Source organism: Homo sapiens, chromosome 12 (genome assembly GCF_000001405.40).
Source record: "Homo sapiens chromosome 12, GRCh38.p14 Primary Assembly".
In the NCBI taxonomy this organism is placed as follows: domain Eukaryota; kingdom Metazoa; phylum Chordata; class Mammalia; order Primates; family Hominidae; genus Homo; species Homo sapiens.
The window spans coordinates 52,817,480-52,834,924 of NC_000012.12; the positions used below are offsets into that span (position 1 = coordinate 52,817,480).

A 17,445-nucleotide genomic window follows, 5' to 3' on the forward strand; every position below is an offset into this window, starting at 1 on the left:
TAGAACAAAAAGCAAGCCAGGAGCCAAGGGGATTTTCAGGGAAACAATATAGAATATGTAATCAGTCTTATTTTGTGCCTGTGGGGCACCCAAACCATGGAGCTACGATTGAGGTACTTCTCATGAAGGTGACTTGAGGTGTGCCATCGCTGATACAAGAAGGAAGATGAAGGAAAGGCAGCGGTGCCTCTTGGGTAGAAGGGATTCTCTCTTGGAACTACTGTTATATGCTGAACACTAGGTGCTTCTTCCAACAACCCAGTCAAAGAGGTGCTTTGCTATGTCCAGTTTGGAGCTGCAGATATTGAGGCTCAGAGGGGTATGTAACTTGCCTGAGATCACACAGCCAGGAAGTGGTAGAGATAGGAAGTCAGTACTATCTGTCTGACTTCAAAGCTTGTGACCTTACAATGTATAAAACGGTAGGTATAATGTTTTATATGAGTGACTGGCCCACACAGAATATGCAGGGAAAAAAATACACAGCAACTTATACAGCCCTGTACCTCATGGTCCACCAAGACAGCCATGGGGTCTGGCCAGCAGGCTGCAAGCTCTGCAGATGCAGCTCCGCTCCTTTTTGTCCTTACCCTCAGCACATGGTCAGTTGCTTGGTTGATGTGGCCCTGTCCTTACAAGTACCCAATAAGGTATGACACTGTCCTGAGGGGCCAGTTTTGTATCCTCCAATTAACTAAATCCAAATTAATTTCATGACAAACCCTACCATAAACCCAATCCAAACAAGAAGAAAGTTCTAGTCTAGAGCCACATTCTGTGTCCTTATTATTAAATCAGAATTGCAAGAAGCTCACAAAATCTTCAAACTGAGCCTGAGAAACCGAAGGTAGACCTAAGGAAGAACTTCCTATGCAAGAGCGCCTTTACACCCTAGAGTGAGAGAGAAAGAGAGATGAGTTTCTTTCCCTGAAAACGGGGAAAGACATTGCCTTCATATGTGGGCCAGAGGCAGGTGGCTGAACAAGGCGCCACTACCCAGCAGCCACAGCTGGAAGCTTGTCCCCTGCCCCTCCCCAGACCTCCACACGCAGATTCTGCTACTGCCCTCGGTGACCCTTCCTTGTTTGGCAGCTGTTCCCAATCTTTTCACAGAGGGATGAGCAGCCGACAGGGGTGTGGAGCCAGGCGGAGGGAGTGTTTGCTCAGGGCTTTCTGGGTAAGGGAGGCAAGCCCTTACATTCAGCCCTGGGATTAAGGGATCCTGAGGGCTTCTGTCACTCTCATCTCCAAACCCACTGTGTGGTGTGGGAAAGTGCTCCTGCCCTCCCTGGCCAGGCGGGCACCCTCACTCCATTCGGTCACCCAACCTCAACTGCCCCACCGGGCCTGAGTCATTCTTGGGGAACCAGAGACAACACGGGGATCAGAGATTCTGCAGAAAAGGGCCATCAGCGTTTTAGGGAGAGGCCAGTGAGGGCAATGAGAGGACGGGCACTCCTGAGAGCCAGGTATGGGGGTCTGTACCCAGGGGCTCCTCTTTCCCCGGGCCGGAGAGCTGCCCCTGCTGGCCTCCTACCCCAGGCATATACAGGCAGGGGCTTCCCAGCATGTTCTGGCAGCAAAAGCACCCTCATAAACAAAATCACGTGCACAGCCTCATGAGTAAAACAGATAAGGAGAGATGATCCAGTTGGTGCAGAGGAGGGACCATGATCCTTCTCACCTGCTGACCTCCCCCTGCACCCCTGAAAGCAGCCCTTAGGGTCCTCAGTTTGGAAACCCCTGGGTCTGGGCCATTCCCCTCCTTCGACAAGTATGTCTAAGCAGCGCATTATTGTTGGTGGGCCCCCCTGGGCTGCAGTATAATCTCTGAGGCTTTTTTCCATGACAATCAAAAGTTTCTATTGTTCAGTTTTTGAGCCCTAAATATAATTTTTTTGAGACAGGGTCTCCCTCTGTCACCCAGGCTGGAGTGCAATGGTGCAATCACAGCTCACCGCAGCCTCAACAGCCTCAAGTGATCCTCCCACCTCAGCCTCCCAAGTAGCTGGGACTACAGGTATGCATTATCAAACCCAGCTAATTTTTGTATTTTTTTGTAGAGGCAGAGTCTCACCATGTTGCCAGGCTTGTCTTGAACTCCTGGGCTCAAGTGATCCACCTGCCTCAGCCTCCCAAAGTGCTGGAATTACAGGCAGGAGCCACAACACCTGGCCTATGATCTCACTAAAACTGATTTTTTTTTTAACACTGCCACTAAGTTACCGTGGCTTTGGATACATTCTTCCCCTTCCTCAACCTGTTTTCTTATCTATGAAATAAAAAGTTTGGAGTCGATTACATCCAATGCCCCTTCTAGCTCCAGCATCCCCAGGTCTCCATTCCTTTTTCTATATAAGCAAAATAACCTGGTGCTTAAGAGCTTGGGCTATGGAACCAGATTGCTTGGATTCCACACCTAGCTCTGCTACTTCCTAGCTGTGTGACCTTAGGCAAGTTACTTAACCACTCTGTGCCTTATTTTCCTTATAGGCAAAATTAGAATGATAATAGTATTTATATTATAGGCTGTTGTGAAGAGAATCAGTTAAAGGCTTGACAGCAGTTCTGGCACACAGTTGGCACTCAGTGAGCATTAGCAAGTATTCCTCAAAGTGTTGTACATGGGGTGGACTATACTCCATCTGTCTGAGAAGGGAAGCTAGAGACCACCCAAGCTGGTGAGGCAGAGCTGACCCTAAACCGCTAGGCCTTTGTGTTCCTAAGCTGGAGGTTAGGGTTTGGCTGAAAATCCCTCTGCTGGCCTTCCACAGCCCTGGAGGAAGCTTTCTCAGGGCTCTTCGGGGCTCCTCTGAGGAGGACAGAGTGATCAGGCCGGAAGAGTGTGGGATGCATCCCAGCAACTGCCAGGAGCCCTAAGGTTGCCAAGGAAGGGAGCGGAGTGGTGACAGCCTCGGGTCGGGCCAACTGGTTTGGTAGCAGGGTGGGGAGGGCCTGAGAGGTGCAGGGTTGAGAGGCCAGCCAATTGGGGAATCACTTGGGTACAGCTTGAGGAGTGGGGTCCAGACTCAAAGTAGAGAACTGTGGAGATGAAGAGGAAAGAAGGTGATACCAAGAGACGCATGGAGGGAGGAGCAGTAAGATTTGGCGAGTGATGGAGGCAGGAGTAGGACGGAGGTAGCTTCTGGGGTGACAGGACAGAGGGCTTGAAATTGCAGCCCTGGACACTACTGACCCACCTCCAGCCAGCTGGATGACTACAGCATGAGAGGTCACTTCTGTGAGCGTGAATCGCCTCACCTGTAAACTGGAACACCACATGCCCACTACTGAACCTAGGGCTGTGGTGATGGTCACAGGCAAAGTAATGTATGTGTAAACCACAAAACCCAATTAAGTGTGGATTTTTCTTGCCGACTGGATGTGGGGGCTGAGAGAGACATCACTGAGGCCAAGAGGATAAGCTGGGAATCCAGAAGTCAGGGAGTGGGAAAGCAAAGAAACCTGATTCCTGAAAGGGCCTCTATAAGCCAGATGCTTTACACATGTTCTTATCACAACCCACTTTTACAAAGGAGGAAACTAAGGCTCAGAGAGGTTAGGTAACTTGACCGAGGTCATACAGCTAGTAAGTGGCAGAACTTGGATTTAAACCCAAGTTGCCTAGTTCTGAAGCCTAAGACCTCTCCACTGAACAAAGCATGCTGTCTGCCCCTACAGAGTTAGTGGGAGGCTGAACAGGCACCAGGGGTGGCTGGTTAATAGGCAGCCACTTAGCCAGGTCTGGCCTTGAGCAGCTTACATATTCCCTCTGAGCCTTGGTCTCCTCTTGTGAGCCATGTACAGCCCTGGAGTGGCGATGGTATCAAACTAATGTACCTAAGTAAGCATGGCGATTGGGATGTGGTGAGTGTGTGATTATTGCTGTGTCAGGCATCAGGATGTTAATCAATGGACACAATTTCAGTTCCCCAGGCAGGACAGACTGCAGCCACAGACAGCTAGCTGCAGTTGCACCATTTATTGAGACACAGACAGGGAAGGGGGATGTGGGTAGATTCAGGGAGAGGGTGGGTCTGGTGGGGGACTGGGGAGGTTGAAGGGTCTTTGGGGACCACTCCCAATTTCTCTCTCTCCTAATGGCTTGAGAAATTCAGCCTCCTCTCGGTGGTCAAAAGGTCACCCCCAAGTCACCCAAGCACATCACTCAAGCTGGCAACTTTAACCTTCCCTCCCATCCTACTGCAGGACCAAGGAGAAAACCTGAGTAGATTTGAGCGCTTCCCAAGATGCAAATAGTCTGGTATGAAAATACCCTGGGTCTGAGGTCCCCTGGCTGTTCCTGCTCCTGAGAAGTGACTGGAAAGGACAGCAGAGGTGGGGTGAGGAGGGCAGGGACAGGATTGCAGGGGCCCTTGCAGGGCTCAGCAGCTAATACCTCTGGCTGGACGTCTTGACCGTAGTGGTCTTCCGCAGGATGGAGGTGCCCGCAGAGACTGGCCCTCCCTTGACGGTGCTATAGCCCACATTTGTGCTGAATCCACCCTTGGTGGCCCCCCCACTCCCACCCAGGGAGATGCCACCTCCAAAGCTGGCTGCGCCACCTCCGCACACAGTGGTGGAGTTGCCAGTCACAGCTGCAAAGCAAAGGGTCTGGATTAGTCAGGGCGGCCATGCCAGAGAGGGCTGGGGGAGACCCAGAAATCAGTGGGGAATCAGAACAAAATCAAGCAGCAGAGCTATGGGAAATGGATAGAGAAGCCCAGAACTAGGACCCTCTGAACCTGTCTCCAGGGGCTCGAATGGAGGAGAGCATGCTTTAGGACAGGTACAGGTTGCATAAACTGAGCAGAGTTCTGGGGCCTGGCCAGGGGTGGAGCAGGAAGTGGGGAGTAAATACTCACAAATGCTGACTGCACTGGGACATTCTCCAGACATCCTAGGGGACACAGAAAGGCCAGGAGAGCAGTCAGTTATCCCTGGTGCCCACATGAAAACCCTCTCCTTCCCTCTGCCTTTACATTGGATCCACTCAGTGAATCCTGATGACAAGACCAGGAAACATGAGAAGTATGTGTATAGGGCTGTGCCCAGGTCCAAAAGCCAGTGCTGCAGAAAGGGCAGAGCCACCAGTAGGCTGTGCCAACTCCCATCCTCCCCTTTTCTTTCCTCTCTGCCCATGTGGGCTACGGACAGCATCCCTGCCCCAATGGAAACAAGCCCACGACCAGACAGAGCTGCCTAGTTTCTGCCCACTTTCTATTTCATGCTTTTCCTAAGGACAGAGATGGTGGATTTTTTTTTCCAAAGCTTCCACTGCTGGTGAAATCTGCTGGTGGAAGAGGAAGTTCCATTCCTACCGGGCTGTCAGCCACAGTAAAGATTAACAAGAGTTGTGCCAACCAAGGAGAGGAGTGATGGAGGCAGTGGGCACAAGCAGATTTTCCCCCCGCGTGAGTCAGGATCTTGCTCCCTGGTTCCTCTCTCCCTCTCTTGACCCCGGAGCAGACTCCCTGGGCTCTCCCCCAGGGCAGGCCCGACCCAGCTTTCTGGGTCGGGCAGGAGGGGCCACCACCTGCTCTCCTCGCTCTCCAGAAGCTTGCGGTAGGTGGCAATCTCCACGTCCAGGGCCAGCTTGACATTCATCAGCTCCTGGTAGTCACGCAGCAGCCGTGTCAGGTCCTCCTTGGCCTGGTGCAGGGCCACATCCAGATCCCCAAGCTTCTTCTGAGCATCCTTGAGTGCCAGCTCCCCACGCTGCTCCGCTTCCGCAATGGCCGTCTGCAGCTGCTGACACTGCCCAGGGGAGAAAGGTGTTGGAAGCACCCTCCGGGGTCATCCCATTCATCTCTCTGCCCTCAAGCCATGGAGACATCATCATTCCCACATCCCTGCCCCCAACCAGCTGGGAAAGAGAGAAGAGAAATATTCATCTGAAGAGATGCTATTACACAAGCAGGATCAAGTAAGGCCACTGGGAAAGTCCTTACTGAAGTCTAACCTCAACCCCTCCTGCTGCAGATCAGCCCAATGCCTCAGAAGAGATGAAATAAATAACACAGCCTTATTAGTAACCAGGTGCTTCATTCTAATCTGTGAAAGAACCCACACTTTTTAGCCGTTCTAAAGGTGGAGTCGGCATCAGCATCTGTGACCTGGCCCCTTGAACCCTCTACCTCCTGTTCTGACTTCCTGGAGATGGGATGGATCAGTTTCCTTGGAGAAGGTTGTCCCACCTGCTCTACCACTCATATACCATGTGACGTTGGACAAGCTCCTTCCTGCTCTGTGCCTCAGTTTCCCCCCATGTAAAAGGAGCCTGTGATCAATGGCCTAGCATTCTATTGTGTCCGTCAGGAGAAGAGCAGGCCTAGCCCCTCGGGGTGACAATGAGAAGGCCCTGCCAACACCTAGGCCAGACCCCCAAGCCCCCAGTAGAGTCCCACCTGCTTCTTGGCTGCATCAGCCTCCCCCTGCAGCCTCTGGATAGTGCGGGTGAGCTCAGCAATCTCGTTCTTGGTGTCCCGCAGGTTGTCCCCATGCTTCCCAGCAGTCACCTGCAGCTCCTCATACTGGGGACCAAAGAAGTGGCAGTGCGCTTTCAAATGGCCCCAGCCCACCCTCACAGCTGGAGGCCCCATGCAAGTTGAGTATATCTGGCCCCCCGGACTCCAAGGGTCCCAGAGGCCCAAGCCTCTCACGATGGGAGATCTGATCCGACCCCAGGCCTCACACCTGAGCCAGCTATGCCTCTCACCTTGGTCTGGTACCAGGCCTCGGCCTCAGCCCGGCTCCTCTGGGCAATCAGCTCATACTGGGCCTTGACCTCGGCGATGATGCTGTCCAGGTCCAGGTTGCGGTTGTTGTCCATGGACAGCACCACATTGGTGTTAGACACGTGGGTCTGCACTTGGCTCAGCTCCTGAAGAATCAGAGACAGCTGCCACCAGCACCCCTGCTCCAGGCCCCAGGAAGCATCAGAGGGTGAAGGACATGGGCCCCCAGGTAGCATCAGGAGGCCTGTGCTCTTGTCCAGGCTCCAGCCTAGAGCAAAGTAAGGAAAACTGCAAGGAAAGGCCTCAGTCTCCCCAGCTATAAAATGAAGCTCCCATTTTTACAGACTTCATTTATTTTTATGGGTTTGCAGGCTTCCAAAAGATTAGAGAGGGTAAAGAGAATGTGTACTCTCTGCACTAACACTGGTGCCCGGCACTGTGCTAGCACATTCACTAACCCCTCTAGGCCTCAGAACACCCTGTGCAGCTGGCAGGCCCATGGCAGGCTCACAGGGTGCCTTTGTGCAAATTGGGGAAAGACACCCCTTCAGGTGGAAACAGCATGTCCAGCACCAGCCAAGTCACCAACTGCACCACCATCCACAGTAGTCCTGACCATGGACAAGTGAGGAAAGAGGTTTGGAGAGGAGAAGTGATGCATCCAAGGGCACCAGGTCCAGGGTGGGACCCAGCCTGGGACCAGTCAATTGCACCACAAAGCCCAAGTGGTTTCCTCTAGAGCACACTGAAAAGTATAGACTGTCTTGATGTTCTTGGGCCCTCCTGTTTCTAGAACCATCGTCCTTCACACATAAGTAGGCTTCAGGATGCTGTGAATGGCGGGTTAGGTGATGGGGAATCAAAGGTCTCTGTTCTGGCCTTGGGACCAGTGGGATCGCTGGGCCAGGACTGTGATGGCTCCCACGTGGGGCTCTGCCTCCATCTCTCCCATGGTCCTTCCTGCTCTGGGCTGCCCATAGAATGCCCTAAACTCCAGCTCTGACAAATCACTCATTCACTCAGTAGTCCTCAGAGGCTCCCTGATAGGTGGAGAACCTTCCCCCTAAAACCCAACACCTCCCATATCCTGGTCTTGTCTCCATCCTTTCTCAAACACTGGCCCTTCATGGCAGCCCAGGGAATTATAATAGAATAATAATAACAACCCTCGCATGCTGAGCATCACTGTGATTCAGGCTCTGTGTTAGGCATGTGGCAGGTACTAACTCATTACATGCCCTTTTCCAGTAGCACAAAGAGATTAAGTAACTTGGCCCAGATCACAAGCCAGTAAGTGAGGAGCTCAGTTTCAAACCCCAGGAGTCTGACATCAGAAGCTGAGAGGACGTAGACTAAAATAGAGATAGGCAGGAACAAAGAGAGACAGGGGGAAAAGAGAAATACCAAAGGCAAAACTGATATCCATACTGATGTAGATGTAGATTGTTAAATTAGATTGTCTTTCAAAAAGTGGGATGAGGAGTTTAGAGATGCAATCAATCTAGTCACTACAAAAACTTGTGGTTTTTGGGAAGATATGAGTTTTGGAGATAGACAAGCCTGAGATCAAGTCCCCAGCCTAACACGCACTGGCTGTGTAGCTGATGTAGCAGCTGAGCCTTGCGATGCCTCAGTTCCCTCTTCTGTAACACGGCCTGATCATACTTTCTTCCTGTGGTGGTTGTGGGGCTTAAGATCCATGTATGACCCATGGCATGTGCTGAGTAAAGTGCATTCTTACTTTCCCAGACTTCTCTGAAGGCCACTGGAGGTGCCCATAAGGTCTATTTGTCACAGATAAGATTGTGTTGTCACAGCTGCTTTGTCTCCTTCCCCACCGAGATGAACTGTCAGCATCATCTTGACGCATCCTGCCCCTGCCCTCCTTAGCTCAGGGTCTCTAGCCCCATGTCAGAGCATAGTCCTCAGGAAAATCAACCCGAAACTTTTAAGACAAGGAGGCAAAATCTCTCCACTGGATGGCATCAAGAGTGGATGAGGTGATGCAATGGTCTTGCTGGAACAAGGGGATAGAAAGGTCAGGCTTGGCCAGGTGCAGTGGCTCACACCTGTAATCCCAGCATTTTGGGAGTTCAAGGCTAGCCTGGGGAAAATGGTGAATGCTGTCGCTACAAAAAATACAAAAATTAGCCAGGCATGGTGACGTGCGCCTGTAATCCCAGCTACTTGGGAGGCTGAGGTGGGAGGATCGCTTGAGCCCAGGAGGTCGAGACTGTAGTGAGCTGTGATTGCGCCACTGCCCTCCAGCATGAGTGACAGAATGAGACCCTGTCTCAAAAAAAAAAAAAAAAAAAGTCAGGCTTTCCGATGAAAGGGAGCTCGTGAAATCAGAGCAGAAAGAGCTCTGTGAATCGCTAAGGTGTGTGTCTCCTTAGACACCAGGGACTCTAAGGGGGAAAGACAGTGGAGACTTCTAGGCAAGGGTAAAGGGAGCCAGCGGGCAGAAGTGGCACAAGCGGAAGAGGGACTGGGTTCCACAGATGCCCCAGGCCAGAGGGAGGCCACCATGGAGGCTGCCTTCCTGCCCTATGAGACACCCAGTGATAGGTGGTTCATCCCCCAGATTGCCGTGGGATCTGGCTTGGCCAAAACCAGATCATGGCATTGGTTACTGAGAGCCATGCTGGTTCCGTGACTGATCGAGCCCATGAGGCAGCAACAGAACAATTGTGCTGATCCTTGTTCTCACCCCACGGAGGCACTGCTGGGCCGTGAGGACCTCTGACAGGAAAGGGCCCAGGCTTGGTCCCTACCACTCTTTCCCTTGCCTCCTGCTCACCTAACTGTGCCCACACACTCGATGTGGGCACTCACCACCCACTGGTCCCCAAGCACCATGTTCCTTCATGCCTCCATGACACTGCACAGGCTGGGCCCCAGGCTGCCAAGTCCTTCCTGCTCCTCCTCTAGAAGTCTAGCCCTTCCATCAAGATCCAACTCAGAAGTCACCTCCCTCGAAGGCTTCCGCAGCCCTCCCAGGAAGGGTCAGCCATGGCGTCCCATGTGCCTTTGCACCTGTGCCTGTCCCCCACAGCTCTCATCACTTGATAACCTGGCCCCACAAGAGCTGAGACTTTGTCTTTGTTGCTATGTGGAAGGTGCTCAGTAAATGTTTGTTAAATAAACAAGGCATAGCAATGGAAAGGAATGCTGAGTATGCCAGCCATGTCCTTAGACCAAAGAAAAGCCAATTCCTAAACATTCAGAAAAGAGGGGGAGAGAGAATGGAACCTAATGGACCACAAGGAGGCCCCAGACCATGAATGACTATCAATGACCCTGGCAAAGTAGAAACTGGGGAAGCACCTAAAAACTCAGCATGGCAGCCCAGAAAACTTCCCAGTAAGTTCCATCCAGACAGGCCGTGCAGAGATGCTGGAAGGCAAGCAATCCAGCCAAGGATAAGCCCGGGAAACACCAAAGCCAGGGGTCAGAGGCTGCTAGATGAACTCTAGGCAGAAATAACACGGAGGTCCCTTTGGGCTGATCCCTACAGAAGATCCAGGAAAGGCCAATCGCTCAGCTGCTTTGTCATTTGCCTCTTTTCCATCAAGAACAAACTGGTCATCAAAGTGGAAAGCACAAGAAATATGCTTGAGAGGAAATGGGAACCCAAGACAGGGTAGATGAGAGACCTTGGCCTTGTTGGAGATCACAGGGATCCAGGCTAGAAAAGCATACACTCAGAGGCTCCAGGGACTGCCAAGGGAAGGAACGCCCTGGTCATCCTTGAGAGATATGGAGAGGAGGAGACCCCAAAACCCCAAACGCAGCAAATGGCCTGATTTTCAAATGGGAGAGATTTGGAATTTTTCAAATAAGGCTGACATCAACCTCCTCCAGACCCATAGAATGAATTCCTAAATGTGTGTGAGAGGCATGAAGCCATCATGGGTTCCCTAAGGAAAAGTGGAACCAAGTGGATTTCATTTTCCTTCATGATTATAATATTAAACTGCTAAAGGCCTGCCATAGACAATGTCTGACCAAGCCTTCCATAGCATTCTTGAAAGAAGACAGAAAAATGTGATCCTGGTAACAGTACTGTTAAGGGGATTTTAAAGTAGCTGAGGCTCTTTAACCACAAATTATTGGTTAACAGACTAACAGTCCCTTGGAAAATCACCACTGAAGACCCACAGGACTTTGTTTTAGGCCCTGATTGCCTTAACATGTGTATCAATGATTTACACTGAGATGCTATCAAATACCTAGACTGAAAGTTTATCCCACCTGCAGATAACACAAAGCTATGCATCACTAATACACTGGATAAAAGAATCAAGTTACTAAGAGCCCACATAGCTTAAAATGTTGGGATGACACCACAGTGGCATTTCATAGGAAAGAAAGGGAATGGTTAACTGTTCCACTCAATTGCAAAATTCAGCTACCCACATACAGGAAGTTGGAGGAGAGTAGATACATGTCTCATTTGAAAGCATTTATGTGAAAAAGTCCAGAAGGGGTTCTAAGAAAGCCAACGTTGTGAAACAACTTCTAAAACAACACATAAACTAGTGCACTATTAGGCTGCATCAATAGAAGTTTGTATCTGGAACCTCCCTCCCCACCCCTCCATCTTCTGAATACTTCACTAAAAGCCCTGTTTCCTGAACGTCCTCACATGCCACAGATTTTTATCCTGTCATCATCATGACTTCTAAAGGGCTATCATGTGAAAGGCATAAGTCACAAGAAGACAATTGGGCAAAGTCAAGGGCAGAAGTCATGAGAAGGAGATTCAAGTCAGTGCTCTAATGAAGTTGTTCAACAATGGTAATGCCTGCCCTAAAAAGTAGTGAGCTCACTGCCACAGGAAGTATTTGAGTAGAGGTTACATATGATAGGGTTATGTCAGGGATATCATAGAAATTGTTCTTGCACTGGATGGAAGGTTGGTCTTGAGGTCCCTGCGGACCCTAAGAGTCTGTGATTCTGCGGTCAATTCATGTTAAGTTCAACCCTCTCACTCTAGTCTCCAAAGCCCTCTTGTCTCCTGGAACCCCTCCTGGATTCTTTAATCTACCCACGCCTCACCTTCTACTCCAATCTGGAATCCCAGTCCCTCCTCTCTGCCCATTCCTGCTCCCTCATCCCTTGCTCCATTACAAACCGGGCAGGAAGAGGGCAATATAACAGTGGTAAGAGTCAGACTTCGGAGTTCAAGAGCCAGATTTGAATTCTAGCATGCTTCTTCCTAGCTATGTGACCACGAGCAACTCTGAGCCCCAGGGTCCTTGACTATAAAATTGAGACAATAATAGTTCTTGCATTCTGGGGTTATTGAGAAGATTATGTTAAAAGTTTGCCCCCGTGCCTGGCCCATCAAAAGCACTTAATAAGTTGAAGCTAGTATTAATTAAAGTGTCAAGGTTTTAGGCTGGGTGCGGTGGCTCACGCCTGTAATCCCAGCACTTTGGGAGGCCAAGGCGGGTGGATCACCTGAGGTCAGGAGTTCAAGACCAGCCTGGCCAACATGGCAAAACTCCATCTCTACTAAAAATACAAAAATTAGCTGGGCATGGTGGCAGGCACCTGTAGTCCCAGCTACTCCAGTGGCTAAAGCAGGAGAATCGCTTTGCAGAGGTTGCAGTGAGCCAAGACTGTGCCACTACACTCCAGCCTGGGTAACACAGCGAAACTCCGTCTCAAAAAAAAAAGTGTTAAGGTTTCATCTTCCACCAATGAGGTTGCACTGGTGAATTCAGGTCAGACCTCCATGGAAAACGCCCAGTGCTGTTTATAGTGTATGCAAACTCTCCCTGCCCATTGGCCACCTCACCATTTCATAGAGTTGCTGCAGGAAGTCAATCTCCTGGGTCAAGGTGCCCACTTTGCCATGCAGATCCATCCGGCCCATGTATGCTGCATCCACATCCTGGGGACGAGAGAGCAAGACAGATCCTCAGGCCCCAGGGATGTCCCCTCTCCCCGAATCAGCCCAGTACCCTGGCAGCCAAAGGACCACCTCCCCCACTCCACTCGGCTCACCTTCTTGAGCACCACAAACTCGTTCTCTGCAGCAGTGTGCTTGTTGATTTCATCCTCGTACCTGTTACACATGGGAGACTCAGGCCAGGCTCAGCCTGGCTCTGCCTTTCAGGCATGGGACCCACTCAGCCTTACAGAAGCCCTGATGGGTCCCTCACTGATCAAGAACACCTCTGGGGAGCAGTTCTTTAATGTAGCCAACCAGTGAAGAAACATGGGGTCTGCCTTGATTTAAACATTCTCTCTCCCCACCCCATTTTAGGGAAAGAGGCACAGAATTTGTGCAATAATATGGCAATCAAGAGCTGCCATCTCTTTGGATCCAAGCCCTTAGGAGGCTTTAGAGGGACAAGTGAAGATGTGTCAACAGTGGCTGACCTTTACCATCACTTTCAACAACACAGTGTCATTCAAACCAGCTAACTCCTCCCCAACCACTTTTGATGAGATTTTAAGGTTTAGAAATTGCCATGGTCAATTTATGGGAAAAGTCATTTTTAAATGTGCGTGTTTAAAAGTTATAAATACGCATATCAACCAATTATAATATATAAACCTTTGGAGCTTGAGTCAAATAAGCTGTATTTTTTAAATTTATGACATGTATGGGGTCACTGGAAATTCAAAACTGGCTGGATATTTAATGATATTGAGGAATTATTGTTTTAAAATTTTTTAGGTGTGATTATGCCACTGTATGTTTTACTGAGTCATAGATGAACTACATTCACATGCAGATATATGAATATAACTTGTAAAATATTAGTGAATGAAATGACAAGATGTCTGGGATTTGCTTCAAGACTACAAGGGAATCAGAACACGTAGAAAAAGGCAAAGGTAAAAAAAAAAGACTACACGGGAAGAAGGGAAGTGGGGAGGTGTAAAAAATGCAACAAGATTGGTTATGAGTTGATAATGATTAAAGCTGGGTGACAGGAACATGGGGTTCATTATACTATTCCCCCTACTTTAAAAACTTTTTTAAATTACAAACAAACCTGCCAATTCTCCAGGTGGCAGCAGGTGCTGGACCTGAGCACCTGAGGGAGCCAGCTCTGTCTGTGCATCCCCCAGGTGGGCCTGGGACCCTGGGAATGGGGTGGCCCTCTTGGCAGGTTTCCCACTGCCCCTCCTCACTCCCACATGGCCCCGCCTGGCCTGCTCTCCTCACTTGTTCTTGAAGTCCTCCACAAGGTCCTGCACGTTCCTGAGCTCTGAGTCCAGCCTCCCCCGCTCGCTCTGAAGTCTGTCCAGCGTGCTCCGCATGCTACCCAGGTAGGCCTCAAAGAGGGGCTCCAGGTTGTTCCTGGTGACACCCAAGTTCTGGCCCTGCTCCTGCAGCAGTGCCCACTTGGTCTCCAGCACCTTATTCTGTTGCTCCAGGAACCGCACCTGAGCCAGAGCAGAAAGGGTGGGCTGATGTCACCCTCCGGTCACCAGAGGAGCCAAGGATGGGGTCCATTGCCACCTCCCCTCCAAGGCCAGGGCAACATAGGGACGCTGCAGCCGCACCTACACTTTGCTGTGGGGAGGCACTCCTTAGGGGAATAGACTGCTGGAAACGACCGTCCAATCTGATGGAAAGAACTCTACCAAGTTAATAAGCACAAAAGCCCAGCTCAGTAGCAGTACCAATTTACTAGTTGGTAACCTTGGTCGAATCATTTCTCTCTGAGTCTCCCTCTCTCACTTGTCCTGCATAAACTGGACTAGATCTATGTTTCTGACCCCTAATTCTGCATTAAAATCATCTGTTTAAAATGTAAATCAACTGTTTAAAATCACACACTTTGGGAGCCTGAAGCTGGAGGAGTGCTTGAGCTCAGGAGTTCAAGACCAGCCTAGGCAACATAGCAAGACTGTCTCCACTAAAAATCAAGACAATTAGCCAGGTGTAGTGGCATGCACCAGTAGTCCCAGCTACTCAGGAGGCTGAAGTGGGAGGATCACTTGAGCCCAAGAGATGGAGGCTGCAGTGAGCTATGACTGTACCACTGCACTCCAGTCTGGGAAACAGAGCAAGACCCTGTCTCAAAAAATAATAATAATAAATTAAGAAAATTGGTGAACTGGGTGAAAGAGTATACAGGAGTATGTTGTACTATTCTTGCAACTTTTCTGTAAATTCAACATTTTTTCCCAAAAAAAACTTTTTTTAAAGTACCAATGTCTGAGCCCTTCCTCTATAGACTCAGAAGGAGGCTTACGGTGTGGGTTTAACAGGACCCCCGAGAGTTCTTGGCCCAGCTGGGGTTCCAAGACAATCTCTCAGACCTCCAGCTCCCAAGCTGTGATTCTGCAATCCTGAGAAAGGTTTTGGCTTGTTTGGCCTCTGGGACAGTCCCACAGGAAAACCAAAAGTCACTAGGGGAGAGGGTGAGGAGGCAGGCAAGACGGCTTGCTTCATATTCTGTCATCCAATATCTCCAGGTCCCATCTCCACACTACCTGGGCCTCAGTCACATGCCCTGGGAGCATCATGCAGCAGGTGTGCCTATTGTGAGCAGTAACAACTCTTAGTGCCAAGAACCACAGAGTCCAGGGGCCTGGGTCCCAGTCCCGCCTCTGCCTCCAACTCCTTGTATCATCCTGGGCAAATCACTTGAGCTCTCTAGACCTCAATTTTCTCATCTCAAAAATGGGCACAATATCACCATTTCTGAGTCTTCATAGAAGCACTGTGGGTACCTCAGGAGAAAAGGGATGTGCATGTTCTTCGGAAACACACAAATCACTGAACCAAGGTACATTTGTCTGCCAGACCTTCCCCATCATGACCCGCTGCCTTGGCTCAGGATCGAGGTGGACAATGCCAGCGAAACAGACCAGGAAATCCCAGCACAAGTGTTGCTCCCATCCATCTGGAGGCAAGGGCAAGGTTCAGGGCATGCCTATGGGCAACAGGTCAAATTCCACATTCCCAGAGCTTGGTGACCTGGTGACCACCCTCCTCATTGTCCACCCCAAATTGAGCTTCTTCACTCAGAGTGTAAAAAAAGGAGAAGCGGAAGGGAGCCTACCCCTAGGACCCCACCCACACACAACTGTGTTTTGATCACATCTTGCCCTTAAGCCTCCTCCAAGCCTGAAAGAATGGAACAAACAGGGCTCCATGCTCTTAGCCTTGAACAACTCTTTCAACTCCTGAGCATTGTTTCCCCAGCTGTAAAATGACAAAAGGCAATGCAGGCCACCCCACTAAGAGGAGCTATGAGGACAATCCATTTTTTGATGATGAGGTAAGGCTACTGTGCAATCAATCGTATTAATCATGGTGGTAGGACAGGCTTCAACACGGGCAAGGTGGACTTGGCAAACCGGACTCATGAGTAGACTGGAGACTCCCCCCGCACAGGCACGGTGAAGACCTGAAGGCCGCCTCCAGCCACCCACGTCTCGGCATCCCAGGCTCAGACCGGGAGAGCTCCAGAGCTCTATCAACCACCACCCTAGTACAAGTGGGCTACAGCAGCCCTGGCCCAGCCCACCCTCTATTAGAGGTCCCGCTTCTTCCCCAAGAGCTCCCTTCCTCCTTCCTGCTTGGCCCACCTTGTCGATGAAGGAGGCGAACTTGTTGTTGAGGGTCTTGATCTGCTCCCGCTCCTGAGTGCGCACTCGCTGGATCTCGGGGTCAATCTCCACATGGAGGGGGGTCAGCAGGCTCTGGTTGACAGTGACCTCCTGGATCCCCCCAGGAGGACAAGCAGGCCCAAACGTCTGCCTGCCAGCCCCCTGTCCCATAAATGCCCTGCTGCCAAAGCCAAAGCCCCCCAGAGCCCGCCCCAACAAGGCCCCTCCGGCCACACTGACAGAGATACTCTTGTGGCCCCCCAAGTTATAGAGGCTTCGGCTGCCAAAGCCACCTGTGCCGGGGCCACAGTGGGCCCCGCCACCACTGCCACTGCTCCGAGACACCGTCACTGAGCTGAAGCTGGTGCGGGCCTGGGACCCACTCCCTCCGCTGGCAGAGTTGGAGCTGAAGCCCCCTTTTGTGGAGTATGTTTGCCGAGAGACGGAGGACCTCATAGCTGCAGAGGGGCCGGAGGGCAGGATGAGAGGGCAGGAAGGGAGTGCCGTGAGCTGCTGGGCCACTGTGGGCTTTTTATCTTTTCCCAACTGGGCCGGCTCCCCAGCTCCACAGACACTCCTGCCCCATCGCCCCAAGGGGAGAGGGAGGGGTCCTTAGGGCCACGGGGAGTGCCCTCTCCCCAAGCAGGAGGGAGGGGCCCTCCCGGTTATCACCTGTGCTCCAGAGCTGGGGCTGAGCCGAGACTGTCTGGGGCAGGATGCCACCTTCTCCCCCTGCCCCCAGGCTCTCCTCGGTTGGCACAGGATGATACGGGCTCCCATGGCCACCCCCACCACCCAGTGGCTGGCTTGCTGTCCTCCCACCCAGCCCCAGAGGCCACTGTCAATAGGGCTCTGTTCTACGGGGTTTGTCCCAGGCCCCTGTTGTAAGCCAAGGCTGCAGGGCCTGGGGCTGTACAGGTGGTAGGAGAAGGAGCATTGGGCAATGGGCTGCCAGAGAGAGCATCCAGGCCTGCTCCCATCCCACCCCCAGCCAACGGCCCACCACTCCTCCCAGGTCCAGGGTGTGTGACACAGGTGACAGGGCGAGAGTGGGGATAGCCTGTGCCTCTGCCGTACAGTGGCAGAGCCTTCTGGGAAGTGAGCCTATGCTGGCAAAGTG

The 17,445-nt window shown here is 51.3% G+C and overlaps 1 protein-coding gene across 1 annotated transcript, besides 1 other annotated feature; it reads right to left on the reverse strand.

The window, feature by feature from the left end:
* Nucleotides 740–1,241: an enhancer, noted in NCBI's record as "H3K4me1 hESC enhancer chr12:53212003-53212504 (GRCh37/hg19 assembly coordinates)". NCBI's record gives its function as "activates a minimal SCP1, AML or CMV promoter by ChIP-STARR-seq in naive H9 embryonic stem cells {active_cell/tissue: H9 hESC(naive)}" and the evidence as "EXISTENCE:reporter gene assay evidence [ECO:0000049][PMID:30033119]".
* On the reverse strand, nt 3,929–16,832 carry KRT79 (keratin 79). The gene is made up of 9 exons (NM_175834.3): nt 16,305–16,832; nt 13,927–14,147; nt 12,753–12,813; nt 12,544–12,639; nt 6,719–6,883; nt 6,408–6,533; nt 5,537–5,757; nt 4,866–4,900; nt 3,929–4,598 (listed from the first exon to the last, which is right to left on the reverse strand). The coding sequence occupies exons 1-9, from the start codon at nt 16,779–16,781 to the stop codon at nt 4,393–4,395; spliced, it is 1,608 nt and encodes a 535-aa protein (NP_787028.1). The 5' UTR covers nt 16,782–16,832; the 3' UTR covers nt 3,929–4,392.